The 15,246-nt window shown below is 45.3% G+C and overlaps 1 protein-coding gene across 5 annotated transcripts in view; it reads right to left on the bottom strand.

Moving 5' to 3' along the window:
* The window catches only part of FBXO42 (F-box protein 42), a 105,641-nt gene that overhangs the window by 49,387 nt on the left and 41,008 nt on the right, over window positions 1-15,246 (bottom strand). For all 5 annotated transcript variants that reach the window (NM_018994.3, XM_047422747.1, XM_047422750.1 and 2 more), the window contains one exon: window positions 9,577-9,693. In NM_018994.3, coding sequence (NP_061867.1) covers window positions 9,577-9,693 — 117 coding nt within the window. The remainder of the gene's footprint in view (window positions 1-9,576; window positions 9,694-15,246) is intronic.

Below are 15,246 nucleotides of genomic sequence, written 5' to 3' on the forward strand. Positions count from 1 at the left end.
CCATCCATTTCATGCACGCAGGAGGTAAAAATAAAATAAAATAAAATTAAGTAAACAAAAAAGACTTCTCAATGTTCATGTGAAACTAACGGTTCAGTGTCATATAAAAGGAAGGGGAAAGGAAAAAGAAATTCACAGATTCAGGCCAGGTGCAGTGGCTCATGCCTGTAATCCCAACACTTTGGGAGGCTGAGGCAGGCGGATCATGAGGTCAGGAGTTCGAGACCAGCCTGGCCAACATGGCAAAACCCCGTCTCTACTAAAAATAAAAAAATTAGCCAGGCGTGGTGGCGCATGCCTGTAATCCCAGCTACTCAGGAGGCTGAGGCAGGAGAATCGCTTGAACCCGGGAGGCGGAGGTTGCAGTGAGCCAAGATTGCGCCACTGCACTCCAGCCTGGACGACAGAGCAAGACTCCATCTCAAAAAAAAAAAAAAAAAAACAAAAACAAAAAACACCAACAAGAAATTCACAGATTCATTGCCCTGTGCATGGCTTTAATGATCATCTAGCATATTTGTAGGTCTAATTCAGTTTAGCACACCAATATTTTTAAGGTCTCTTCTGAACTCTGGCACTAGTTACCCGAGTTCAGAAAAAGGGAAATGCTACTACTGTTGACTCATCCAATGCCACTACTATAATCACCTCTGTGATACACACTATACTAGCTCTGGGAATAAACTCCCCCCTCCCCCGCACCCCCCACCCCCCGCTTTTTGTTTTTTTTGAGACAGAGTCTTGCTGTGTGGCCGAGGCTGGAGTCCAGTGCCACAATCTTGGCTCACTGCAACCTCCACCTGCCAGCTTCAAGCAATTCTTCTGCCTCAGTCTCCCGAGTAGGTGTAACTGGGATTACAAGCACACACCACCACACCCAGTTAATTTTTGTATTTTAGTGAAGACAGGGTTTCACCGTGTTGGCCAAGCTGGTCTCGAACTCCTGACCTCAGGTGATCCACCCGCCTCAGCCTCCCAAAGTGTTGGGATTATAGGTGAGAGCCAATGCGCCCAGCCCCCCACCTTCTTTTATTTTCCCTTAATTCAGCCCTCCTGTTAGACCCCTGGGACTCTCTACGGTAAGAAGGCCAAGTCAGAAAACTGAGCAAGTTAAGAGGTAATGAAAGCAGTATGTTTAGTGCCTTAAACCCCATAATCTCAGTCAGTGGAAGGGTTAAATCCAAATTATCTGACCTCTGACACTGTGGAATAATGGAGCTGCAGGCTTTTAAAATTACCAAAGAAATTAGACAAAACAGATCTGAAGAAATAAAATACCATCTAGCCATCAATAGGCTCACACCTGCAAAATATTTATGGTATCCCCAGAACTCTACTAAGAAGTCAAGTCCAGGCCGGGCGTGGTGGCTCACGCCAGTAATCCCAGCACTTTGGGAGGCCGAGGCAGGCAGATCATGAAGTCAGCAGATCGAGACCATCCTGGCTAACACAGTGGAAACCCCATCTCTACTAAACATACAAAAAAAAAAATTAGCCGGGCGTGGTGGCAGGCGCCTGTAGTTCCAGTTACTCAGGAGGCTGAGGCAAGAGACTGGCATGAACCCGGGAGGCGGAGCTTGCAGTGAGCCAAGATCCCGCCACCGCACTCCAGCCTGGGCGACAGAGTGAGACTCCATCTCAAAAAAAAAAAAAAAAAAAGTCAAGTCCAATGAATCCATGGCTCACATGTCAGATCTGTTAAGAACTACAAATAACAGGCTGGGCACAGTGGCTCATGCCTGTAATCCCAGCACTTTGGGAGGCTGAGGCGGGTGGATCACTTGAGGTCAGGAGTTCGAGTCCAGCCTGGCAAACATGGTGAAACCCCTCTCTACTAAAAATACAAAAATTGGTCTGGCATGGTGGCATGCACCTGTAACTCCCAGCTACTGGGGAGGCTGAGGCAGTAGAATCGCTCGAACCCGGGAGGTGGAGGTTGCAGCGAGCTGAGATTGCGCCACTGCACCCCAGCCTGGGCGATAGAGCAAGACTCTGTCTCAAAAAACAAAAACAAAAACACCAAAGAACTACAAATAACAAAGGATCAAGTTAGAAGACATTAGACAAACAAAAGGACAATTACTGGAGCCACATTTTAATCTCCACTAAAGGAGCTCAACTCCAGATATCCTGGTCCTCTTAGACATATCTTGACCTAGTAATCCTAAAAAATGGGGCAATTTTGAAATGAGCCAACTGGTACCAGGTTGGCTCAGTAAAAGCACATTCTTCTCCTCTTGATATTCCAGACCTCCAGAAAAAGAAATTAGCAATGTCCTATGAGTTATTTATTTATTTTCTGAGATGGAGTCTCACTCTGTCACCCAGGCTGGAGTGCAGTGGCACAATCTTGGCTCACTGCAACCTCCGCCTCCTAGGTTCAAGTGATTCTCCTGCCTCAGCCTCCCAAGTAGCTGGAATTACAGGCGCCCACCACCACGCCCAGCTAGTTTTTGTATTTTTAGTAGATATGGGGTTCCACTATGTTGGCCAGGCTGGTCTCGAATTCCTGACCTCAGGTGATCCGCTCGCCTCGGCCTCCCAAAGTGCTGAGATTATAGGCGTGAGCCACCGCGCCCGGCCAATGTCCTATGACTTCTGAAACCTTAACTAGTGTCCATTATAACATTGCTTAATAAAACAAATCCATGATTTCATAACTAAAAGAGTCAAGGGTTTGTTACGTCTCCCAGTTCCTCACAGATAACTTCTTGGCAGCTGCTTCCTTAGTGTAGCAAAAGAACACAGTGCCTGTATTTTTCAAAAAGGTAACAAACATTTTTCCTTTTTAATTTTTTTTCCTCGAGACAGAGTCTTGCTCTGTCACCCAGGCTGGAGTGAAATGGTACAATCTTGGCTCACTGCAACCTCTGCCTCCTAGGTTCAAGCAATTCTCCTCCTCAGCCTCCCGAGTAGCTGGGATTACAGGCATGTGCCACCATGCCTGGCTAATTTTTTGTATTTTTAGTAGAGACGGGGTTTCACCATGTTGGCCAGGCTGGTCTCGATCTCCTGACCTCGTGATCCGCCCGCCTCGGCCTCCCAAAGTGCTGGGATTACAGGCACGAGCCACCGCACCCAGCCCACATTTTTCTTCTCTATTTGGACTGAAAACCCAGCCAACAGCGGGGCCCTGAGGTCCTTACCACATGTATTTTAATCCCACACTAAAATAGGGCAATTGGCATTTTCCTGCTTCTCTTGAGCAAACAAAGGTTTCTGGAAGAGGAAGGCACAGCCCAAAGTATGCAAAGCTAATGGCACTAAAATGGCAAGTTTCACACACTACTGTATTTTCAGTGACCAGCAGTCAATTATCAACAAAGTTGGGAGAGGAAGGGAGTCAGTTTAGGCAGCTATATTTAGAACTCAGATATAATGGAATGAGAAAATAACTATCAATAATACGCTTAATTATTATTATTATTATTTTTTTGAGATGGAGTCTCGCTCTGTCACCCAGGCTGGAGTGCAGTGGCACGATCTCGGCTCACTGCAACCTCCGCCTCCTGGGTTCAAGCGATTTTCCTGCCTCAGCCTCCCGAGTAGTTTGGACCACAGGCACGCGCTACCATGCCCAGCTAATATTTGTATTTTTGGTAGAGATGGAGTTTCACCATGTTGGCCAGGATGGTCTCAATCTCTTGATCTCGTGATTCACCTGCCTTGGCCTCCCAAAGTGCTGGGATTACAGGCGTGAGCCACCATGCCCGGCCACACTCAACTATTTTAAGCACCCTAGCCTACTGAACTTTACTTATTGCCTATTTTTTATTTAAGACACCTATAGATTGATCTGAGAGGGGCAGGGGCAGGGAGGAAGACCCAACAAGTTCAAATGAACCTTTTAGGAAAAAGAATTTGAGCAACTCCCAGTGCTCCAGTAGTAATTTCCCTTTTCACAAGTTCTCAACCTAAATAGAAAATTTTCCTTTCAGAACATCTAGACCACTAGAATGTGCTATACAGTTACAGCTCACAGTACAGTATGAATACTGGGCTAACAAATAATACTGAGAGTGTCTATTCCAACTGGTAAATCTCTTCAAGTTTTCTGAAATGGGCTTAGTTTACGACACATACTAATCATCCCTATTAAAATACAAGTCAAATAGTCACAATTTAATTACACACAGAGCAAGCAAACAGTTCTTCACAGTTCTGAATACTTCTCCACTATTCTATAATCATCTCAAGTGCAAGATCTTCCAGTAGTTTCATCTTTTCCATGGTGTATGGAGCATTCAATAAATGCTCACTAAATGAATGATATGCTTTTGCATTTTCAGACGTCAAATTCTCTTTTGTTTCTTCACCTGTCTCCAGGGAAAGATCCTGAGGCATTTATCCCATGCTTAAAGAGACTATGCTGTCATGTGTCTCACACCTACAAGCCAGAACATATTTGATAAGGTCTCTAATTACGTAACTATGAAGAAGCAAGGGCGGTTATCCAGTCTGGGCCTGCTGGCTCCTGCAGGAGCATGATGAGCATTGTGTATGAAACTACCTGACTATATGTGACACCTACAACACTGAAACATTTTTCAATGCATGATGTTGGGGACTCAGGAGACCCCCTACATCAATCTGAAAAGGACATTCTACATTAATTAAAGCTTGCATGATTAGCTATGCACACATTCACCAAAAAGCTAGAATTGGCCTTTTTTTTTTTTTTTTTTTTTTTGAGACAGAGTGTTGTTCTGTCACCCAGGCTAGAGTGCAGTGGCATAATCTTGGCTCACTGCAACCTCTGCCTCCCAGGTTCAAGCGATTCTCCTGCCTCAGCCTCCCGAGTAGCTGGATTACAGGCGTGCGCCCACCACGCCCAGCTAATTTTTGTATGTTTAGTGGAGATAGGGTTTCACGATGTTGGCCAGGCTGGTCTCCAACTCCTGGCCTGAAGTGATCCACCTGCCTTGGCCTCCCAAAGTGTTGGGATTACAGGGGTGAGCCTCTGCACCTGGCCCTAGAATTGGCCTTTTTACTTCACCTGACTTTTTTGTCCCAGACTTTTCCATAGGAAAGATACTATACTGTGCATACCTTTGTTGCACTTAAGTCCACAAAAATTATTAGGTATCAAAATATATTGATACCAAATTTATTAGATATCAACTATGAACAAGGTGTTGTGAAACAGTACAAGAAGGCTGGGTGCGGTGGCTCACACCTGCAATCCCAGCACTTTGGGAGGCTGAGATGGGCAGATTTCTTGAGCCCAGGAGTTTGAGACCAGACTGGGCAATAGGGCGAAACCCCGTCTCTACTAAAACTACAAAAATTAGCTGCGCGTGGTGGCAGGCACCTGTAATCCCAGCTACTTGGGAGGCTGAGGCAAGAGAATAGCTTAAATCTGGGAGGCAGAGGCTGCAGTGAGCCAAGACCGCGCCACTGCACTCCAGCCTGGGTGCTTGGGTGACAGAGTGAGACCCCATCTCAAAAAAAAAAAAACAACAAAAAAAAAAGAAACGGTACAAGAATGTCTAAGACATGGAGCCTGTCTATCTTCAAGTAGACGACAATCTTGTGGGGGAGACATCATCATCATCCTACTTTTTTACAGCTTAAAATATATACATATATTTTAATTTTAAATAGAGATGTTGCCCAAATTGGTCTCAAACACCTGGGCTCAAGTCATTCTCCTGCCTCGACTTTAAAACATATTTTTACAAGTGTTTTCTTAAATGCATTTCTCAGCAATCTATGGCACAAACAGAATTTGTCATATCCATTTTTCAGACAAAGAAACTGTGGGTCAGACAAGCCAAGAAACTTGCTTCCCACATCCAAAGGCCTTTCCTTTTTAGCATGCAGCCTCTCTCACACAGATAATAATGGCAAAAGACAGATGGTAATAAATAATGGAGGAAGGTATGAATAGTATATTAGGGAAGCAGAGAGGAAGAAAAGAGCTTAATATCTACGGCGAGGAATCTGAGAGAAGTTGGTAAAAAATGTGGCTTTTGATTTTATCTTTGAGATGACTTTTAGAGAACAGGACACTTTCAGTCCATTAAGAAGGGCAGGCCGGGTGCGGTAGCTCAACGCCTGTAATCTAGGCACTTAGCAAGACTGAGGTAGTGTATTAGTCCATTTTCACACTGCTATAAAGAACTATCCAAGACTGGGTAATTTATAAAGGAAAGAGGTTTAACTGACTCACAGTTCCACATGGCTGGAGAGGCCTCAGGAAACTTACATTTATGGTAGAAGGCAAAGGAGAATCAAGCAACTTCTTACAAAGCAGCAGGAGAAAGAGCACAGGGGAAACTGCCACCTTTTTTTCTTTTTTGAAACGGAGTCTCGCTCTGTTGCCCAGGCTGTAGTGCAGTGGTGCAATCTCAGCTCACTGCAACCTGCACCACAGGGGTTCAAGCAACTCTCCTGCCTCAGCCTCCCAAGTAGCTGGGACTATAGGCACCCGCCACCAGGCCCGGCTAATTTTTGTATTTTTAGTAGAGACGGGGTTTCACCATGTTGGCCAGGCTGGTTTCAAACTCCTGACCTCAAGTGATCCGCCCTCCTCAGCCTCCCAAAGTGCTGGGATTACAGGCGTAAGCCACTGCGGCCAGCCGAAACCGCCACTTTTAAACCATCAGATCTCATGAAAATTCTTTCACTATAACAAGAACAGCATGGAGGAAACCGCCCCCATGATCCAGTCTCCTCCCACCAGGTCACTCCCTTGACACATGGGGATTACCACTGGAGGAGATGAGATTTGGGTGGGGACACAGAGCCAAACCATATCTGGCGGGCACACTGCTTGAGCTCAGGGGTTCGAGACCAGTCTGGACAACATGGCAAAACACAATTAAAAATTTCAAAAACTAATTCAAAAAAGAAAAAAAGGGAAGGGCAAATAAGGAAGTTTAAGACATAACAAGGAGGTTCATGTGGCTGAAGTCTGGCTACCTAAGGATGCAGCAGTGAGTCAGGCTGAAAAGGCAAGCCAGGTCCTTGAAAGGCAGGCAGAATGAAAACTCCTACATGCAGCACACTAACGCTGAAGCTTGCTGACGGAAGAATGCAAGGCTAGTTGCATGTTTCAGACTTGCAGTATTTCCCAACAGGAGCTCTTATCATTTGGGGCAGGATAATCTTTTTATCTGTAGGACTGTCCTATGCACTGCAGGATGCTGCACATCCCTGCCCCTTGCCTACTTCATGTTTATACTGCTTTTCAGTGATGACAGTAAGCAATGACTTTACAGATTTCTTACAGATTTCCGAATGTCAGAGGAGGAGGAGATACTGTCCCCAGTTTTAGAGGTGGTTATTAATGGTCTTTAGTCCAGGTTCACATGAAGAGAGAAGAAAGGCAAGAAGATAATTTTTTTTTTTTTTTTGAGACAGAGTTTCGCTCTTGTTGCCTAGGCTGGAGTACAGTGGCATGATCTCGACTCACTGCAACCTCCGCCTCCCGGGTTCAAGTGATTCTCCTGCCTCAGCCTCCTGAGTAGCTGGGATTACAGGTGCCTGCCACCATACCTGGCTAATTGTTTATATTTTTATTTTATTTATTTTTGAGACGGAGTCTCACTCTGTCACCGAGGCTAGAGTGCAGTGGCGTGATCTCGGCTCACTGCCAGCTCCACCCCCTGGATTCACGCCATTCTCCTGCTTCAGCCTCCCCAGTAGCTGCGACTACAGGCGCCCGCCACCATGCCCGGGTAATTTTTTATATATATATTTTTTTAAGAGACGGGGTTTCACCGTGTTAGCCAAGATGGAATTGTTCATATTTTTAGCAGAGACGGGGTTGTACCATGTTGGCTATGCTGTTCTCAAACTCCTGACCTCAGGTGATCCGCCCGCCTTGGCCTCCCAAAGTGCTGGGATTAGAGGCGTGAGCCACAGCACCCAGCCAAATTTGTATTTTTTTTTTTTTTTTTTCTGAGATGGAGTTTCACTCTTGTTGCCCAGGCTGGAGTGCAATGGTGCAATCTCGGCTCACTGCAACCTCCGCCTCCCAGGTTCAAGCAGTTCTCCTGTCTCAGCCTCCCAAATAGCTGGGATTACTGGCATGTGCCACCATGGCTGGTTAATTTTTTTTTCTATTTTTAGTGGACAGGGTTTCACCATGTTGGCCAGGCTGGTCTCAAACTCCTGACCTCAGGTGATCAGCCAACTTCAGCCTCCCAAAGTGCTGGGATTACAAGCGTGAGCCACTGAACCCAGCCCAAATTTGAATTTTATAATCGACACTTGTCACATTCAAAATTTTTGTAGGAGTCCATTTAAATTTTGTGTTTGCTGAACATGTATTATGTTAAATAGCCATTATATGACCTAGTACTAAAATCTGACTACTCCCTAAGCAAAATCTTAGAAATACCCTCATGTACAGCTTTCCTTTGTTTTCCTCTTAGATAATGTCAGATGTTTAAAACGCTAAGCATAACACCTTGACCACTCTGGAGTAGAGAAAAATCCAATGAAAAAGCAGAGGGCTGGGCGCGGTGGCTCACACCTGTAATCCCAGCACTTTGGGAGGCCGAGGTGGGTGGATCACCTGAGGTCAGGAGTTCGAGACCAGCCTGGCCAACATGGCGAAACCCTATCTCTACTAAAAATACAAAAATTAGCCAGGTGTGGTGGCACACACCAGTAGTCCCAGCTACTCAGGAGGCTGAGGCAGGAGAATCATTTGAACCCAAGAGGTGGAGGTTGCGGTGAGCCAAGATTGCACCACTGCAATCCACCCTGGGCAACAGAGACTCTGTCTCAAAAAAAAGAAAAAGCAGAATATAAAATTCTTAACAAACTGCCTACAATATATTTAGGCTGACACTTTTCCCTAATTCTGGTTATAAAATTAATATAAACTCTCATTTTACATTCTCTTCATTAAAAAGTCAGATAATGGCCAGGCACAGTGGCTCACACTTGTAATCCCAACATTTTGGAAGGCCAAGGTGGGAGGATCGCTTGAGCCCAGGAGTTGAAGACAAGCCTGGGCAATACAGTGAGACCCCATCTCTACAAATAATTTTTTAAAAATTAGCCAGGCGTGGTGGCATGCACCTGTGGGCCCAGCTACTCGGGAGGCTGAGGCAGAAGGACTGCCTGAGCCGAGGAGGTCGAGGCTGCAGTGACCCATGATCACACCACCATATCACAGCCTGGGTGACAGAGTGAGACTCCATTTCAAAATAAATAAATAAATAATTAAAAGTCGGATAAAATACATGCCTTGGCTGGGTGTCGTGGCTCACGTTATGTAATCCCAGCACTCTGGGAGGCCAAGGCAGGCCTATTGCTTGAGCTCAGTTCAAGACTAGACTGGGCAACATGGTGAAACCCCATCTCTACAAAAAATACAAAAGTTAACCAGGTGTGATGGGGCACGCCTGTAGTCCTCATACTCAGGAGGCTGAGGTGGGAGGATCACCTGAGCCTGGGGAGGTGGAGGCTGTAGTAAGCTGTGATTATGCCACTGCACTCCAGCTTGGGTGATAGAGTGAGACCTTGTCTCAAAAACAAACAAAAAAACATGCCACCAAACAAGTTTCTGGAAATATGACCACAGGCAGGGTGGAATCTGCTTTCACAGTAAATACTTACTGTGCGAGAAGCGCTGAGTGATTGGGGTTCCAGGATAAGGATAGGTACGGCTCTCCCACTGAATGTTTCCTTCCTGGACAGCCTTCATGAAACCATGATAACACTGATGGGCTACACCTAAGACAGAAAGAGCAAACCCTTCAGTCCAGACACTTAACTTATCCATCAAATTATTAAAACTGTGTCTATTACCTGTTTTTATCATTTTTATACAAGTTTCTTTTTTTTTTCTTTTTTTGAGATGGAGTCTCACTCTGTCGCCCAGGTTGGAGTGCAGTGGCACGATCTCGGCCACTGCAACCTCTGCCTCCTGGGTTCAAGTGATTCTCCTGCTTCAGCCTCCCGAGTAGCTGGGATTACAGGTACCTGCCACCATGCCCAGCTAATTTTATTTTTAGTAGAGATGGGGTTTCACCATCTTGGCCAGGCTGGTCTTGAACTCCTGACCTCGTGATCCACCTGCCTCGGCCTTCCAAAGTGCTGAGATTACAGGCATGAGCCACCGCGCCCAGCCTATAAGACAAGTTTCTTTGAGGAATTCCAAATTTATCTGATTTTCATTCAAAGAAAGGAAATACAATTTTAAAACTGAAAGGCAATCCTTCCATTTTATCAAAGTTCATGGAGGTTAGGTGACATTAAAAATTACAAAATTAGCTCACACTGTAACTCTAGTCCCTTTTATTTTATCTCATAAGGCAACATATCAAGATCATTGATATTATTTACTCCAAAGCAAAGGTGTTGGGGGATAATTTAGCCTTATGAAAGAGTATGATAAAACAATGTCTAGAACATAACAGGTGTTCAGTAAATATCTATAGTTGGAAACTATAATAAAGCATTCTCTGTCTTAAATATGGAGATAATAATTAGTTTACAATTGATTATGTTTTGTTTATTTATTTTTTTCTTTAGACAGGGTCTCGCTCTGCTACCCAGGCTGCAGTGGCATGCATGACTTTAGCTCACTGCAATCTCTGCCTCCCAGGCTCAAGCAATACTCCTACCTCTGCCTCCTGGGTAGCAGGCACTACAGGCAAACACCACCATGCCTGGCTAAAATGGATTATGAAATACATAACTCAGGAAAGTTTGTTTTCTTTTTTTTTCTTTTTGAGACAGAGTCTCGCTCTGTTGCCTAGGCTGGAGTGTAGTGGCTCACTGCAACCTCTGCCTCCCAGGTTCAAGTGATTCTCCTGCCTCAGCCTCCTCAGTAGCTGGGATTACAGACATGCATCACCATGCCCAGCTAATTTTTGTATTTTTAGTAGAGACAGGGTTTCACCACAGTGGCCAGGCTGGTCTCGAACTCCCCACCTCAGGCGATCCACCCGCCTAAGCCTCCCAAAATGTTGGGACTACAGGTATGAGCTACCATGCCCAACCAGGAAAAGTTTTCTAAAAGATGAGAGGCCAGGCGCAGTGGCTCACACCTGTAATCCCAGTGCTTTAGGAAGCCAAAGCAGAAGGATAGCTTGAAGCCAGGAGTTTGAGACCAGCCCGGGCAACATAGCAAGACCCCATTTCTCTGCAAAAAAATTAAAAATTAGCCAGGCATGGTGGTCTGCACTTGTAGTCCTAGCTACTTGGGAGGCAGAGGAGGGAGGATCACCTGTGCCCAGGAGTTCAAGGCAGCAGTGATCATGCCTATGATCATGCCATGCCACTGCACTCCAGCCTGGGCAAGACAGTGAGACCCTGTCTCTTAAAAAACAAGCAAAAAAAAAAAAGACGAACATATAACAATGGAGAGGAATTGATTATGGAATCATAACCTGTCTTGGTCCTAGAGCTAATAAGCAAGATTGCAGGATACAAGGTTAGCATACAACAATGAACAAGTAGAATTTGAAATTAAAACACATAATTTGAAATTAAAACACATATACATTCGCACCAAAAAATGAAATACTTAGATATAACAAAATACATACAAAATCTATATGAGGAAACCCATAAAACTATGATGAAAGAAATCAAAGAACTAAATAAAGAGATAGTCCATGTTCATGGATAGGATAAGAAGACTCAATATTGTCAAGATGTCAGTTCTTCCCAACTTGATCAACAGATTCAATGCAATCCTAGTCAAAACCCCAGCAAATTATTTTGTGAATATCGACAAACTGTTTCCACAGTTTATGTGGAGAAGCACAAGACCCAGAATAGCCAAGAAAACATGGAAGGAGGAGAACAAAGTCAGAAGATTGATACCACCTGACTTCAAGACTTACTATAAAAGCTACAGTAATCAAGACAGTGTGGTATTTGCAAATAATAAACAAATAAATCAATGGAACAGAATAGAGAGCCAAGAAATAGACCCATACAAATACAGTCCATTCATTTTTTTTTAATAGAGGTGGGGTCTCACTATATTGTCCAGACTGGTCTCAAACTCCTGAGCTCAAGTGTTCCTCCCATCTCAGCCTCTCAAAGTGTTGGAATTACAGGCGTGAGCCACTGTGTCCAGCCTTTACTGATCTTTGACAAAGAAGCAAAAGTAATGCAATGCAGAAAAGACAGCCTTTTGCCAGGCTCAGTGGTGTATGCCTGTGGTCCTAGCTACATGAGAAGCAAGGCAGGAGGATCGCTTGAGCCCAGGAGTTCGAGGCTGTAGTGCACAATGATCCCACTTGTGAACAGCCATTGAATTTCAGCCTGGGAAACACAGTGAGACCCATCTCTCTTTTTTTTTTTTTTTTTTTCCTTTAGACTGAGTCTCACTCTGTCACCTAGGATGGAGTGCAGTGGCACGATCCCCGTTCACCACAATCTCTGCCTCCTGAGCACAAGGGATCCTTCCACCTCAGCCTCCAAGTAGCTGGGACTACAGGCACACACCACTGCACTCAGCTAATTTCTGTTTTTTTGTTTGTTTGTTTCATAGAGATGGAGGTTGACCATGTTCTCAGGCTGGGAGACCCCATCTCTGTTTTTTTTTTTTTTTTTTTTTTGAGAAGGAGTCTCACTCTGCTGCCCAGGCTGGAGTGCGTGGTGCAATGTCAGCTGACTGCAACCTCCACCTCCCAGGTTCAAATGATTTCCCTGCCTCAGGTTCCCAAGTAGCTGAGATTACAGGCATGTGCCACCATGCCTAGCTAATTTTGCATTTTTAGTAGAGACGGGGTTTCACCATGTTGGCCAAGCTGGTCTCAAACTCCTGATCTCAAGTGATCCGCCCACCTCGGCCTCCCAAAATGCTGGGATTACAGGCGTGAGCCACCATGCCAGGCCGGGAGACCCCATCTCTTTTTTTTTTTTTTTTTTTTTTTTTTTTGAGACAGAGTGTCACTCTGTCACCTAGGCTGGAGTGCTGTGGCGCGATCTTGGCTTACTGCAACCTCCAACTCCCAGATTCAAGCGATTCTCCTGCCTCAGACTTCCAAGTAGCTGGGATTACAGGCACGCGCCACCATACCCAGCTAATTTTTTTTTTCTTTTTGTATTTTTAGTAGAGATGGGGTTTCACCACGTTGGCCAGGATGGTCTCAATCTCTTGACCTCATGATCCACCCACCTTGGCCTCCCAAAGTGCTGGGATTATAGGCATGAGCCACCGCGCCTGGCCAACCCCATCTCTTAAAGAAAAAAACCTTTTCCAAAAATGATGCTGAAATAAATTAAAATCTACATGCAAGAAAATGAATCTAGACATCTTCCATGAAAATGAACTAAAAATGAATCACAATCCTAAATGTAAAACATAAAACTCCTCGAAGATAACAGGAGAAAATCTAGAAGACCTTGACTTTGGGGATGACTTTTTATACACAGTACCAAAGGCATGATCCATGAAAGAAAGAATGGCCAGGCATGGTAGCTCACGCCTGTAATCCCAACACTTTGGGAGGCCAAGGTGGGAGGATAACTTGAGCCCAGGAGTTCAAGACCAGCCTGGGCAACACAAGGAGACCCTGTCTCGACAAAGTATTTTTTAAAACATTAGCCGGGTGTGGCCGGGTGCAGTGGCTCACACCTGTAATCCGAGCATTTTGGGAGGCCGAGGTGGGTGATCACTTGAAGTCAGGAGTTTGAGACCAGCCTGGTCAACATGGTAAAACCTACTCTACTAAAAAAGGTTTTGTTCTTACTAAAAACAAAAATTGGCCGAGCGCAGTGGCTCACGCCTGTAATCCCAGCACTTTGGGAGGCCAAGGCAGGCAGATCACAAGGTCAGGAGATCGAGACCATCCTGGCTAACACAGTGAAACCCCGTCTCTACTAAAAATAGAAAAAATTAGCCGGGTGTGGTGGTGGATGCCTGTAGTCCCAGCTACTCGGGAGGCTGAGGCAGGAGAATGGCGTGAACCCGGGAGAGGAGCTTGCAGTGAGCCGAGATCACACCACTGCACTCCAGCCTGGGCAACAGAGCAAGACTCCATCTCAAAAAAAAAAAAAAAAAATTAGCCGGGCGTAGTAGCATGCACCTGTAATCCCAGCTACTTGGGAGGTGGAAGCAGGAGAATTCCTTGAACCCAGGAGGTGGAGGTTGCAATGAGCTGAGACTGCGCCACTGAACTCCAGCCTGGGTGATGGAGTGAGGTTCCATCTGAAAAAAAAAAAGAAAAACAAATTAGCTGGGTATGGTGGCATGTGCTTGTAGTGCCAGCTATTTGGGAAGCTGAATTTGGAGGATTGCTTGAGCCTGGGAGGTTGAGTCTGCAGTGAGCCCTGATCACGCCACTAGACTCCAGCGTGGGTGACAAAGCAAGACCTTATCCCCTCCCCAAAATAACTGATAAGCCAGAATTCATTAAAACTAAAAGTTTCTGCTCTGTGAAAAATACTGTCAAGGGAATGAGAAGATAAGCCACAGACTGAGAGAAAGTATTTGCAAAAGACATATCTGATAAAAGACAGTTATATAGAATATCCAAAGAACTCTTAAAACTCAACAATATTAGGGCCAGGCGCGGTGGCTCACGTCTGTAATCCTAGCACTTTGGGCAGGTGCTCAAATAAATTAAATATTATTTATTTATTTATTTGGTGGATCACTTGACATCAGGAGTTCAAGACCAGCCTGGCCAACACAGTGAAACCCTGTCTCTGCTAAAAATACAAAAATTGCCAGGAAATTGCTTGAACCCAGAAGGTGGAGGTTGCAGTGAGCCAATATTGTGCCACTGCACTCCAGCCTGGGCAACAGAGCCGGACTCCATCTCAAAACAAACAAACAAACAAACAAAAAAACTCAACATTAATAAACAAACAACCCAATTAAAAAATGGGTCAACGCCGGGCACGGTGGCTCACGCCTGTAATCCCAACACTTTGGGGAATGGCATGAACCCAGGAGGCGGAGCTTGCAATAAGCCGAGATCGCGCCCCTGCACTCCAGCCTGGGCGACAGAGTGAGACTCCGTCTCAAAAAAAAAAAAAGGGGGTCAAAGGCCTGGCATGGTGGCTCATAATCCCAGGACTTTAGCAGGCCCAGGTGGTAAGATTGCTTGAGCCCAAGAGTTCAGGACCAGCATGAGCAACACAGTGAGACCCCATCTCTACAAAAATAAATAAATAAATACAAAAATTAGCTGGGTGTGGTGGTACACACTTGTAGTCCCAGCCACTTGGGAGGCTGAGGCGAGAGGATTGCTTGAGTCCAGGAAGTCAAGGCCGCAATGAGCTATGACCATGCCACTGTGCTCCAACATGGGTGACAGA

Source organism: Homo sapiens, chromosome 1, assembly GCF_000001405.40.
Source record: "Homo sapiens chromosome 1, GRCh38.p14 Primary Assembly".
NCBI classification, from domain to species: Eukaryota; Metazoa; Chordata; class Mammalia; order Primates; family Hominidae; genus Homo; species Homo sapiens.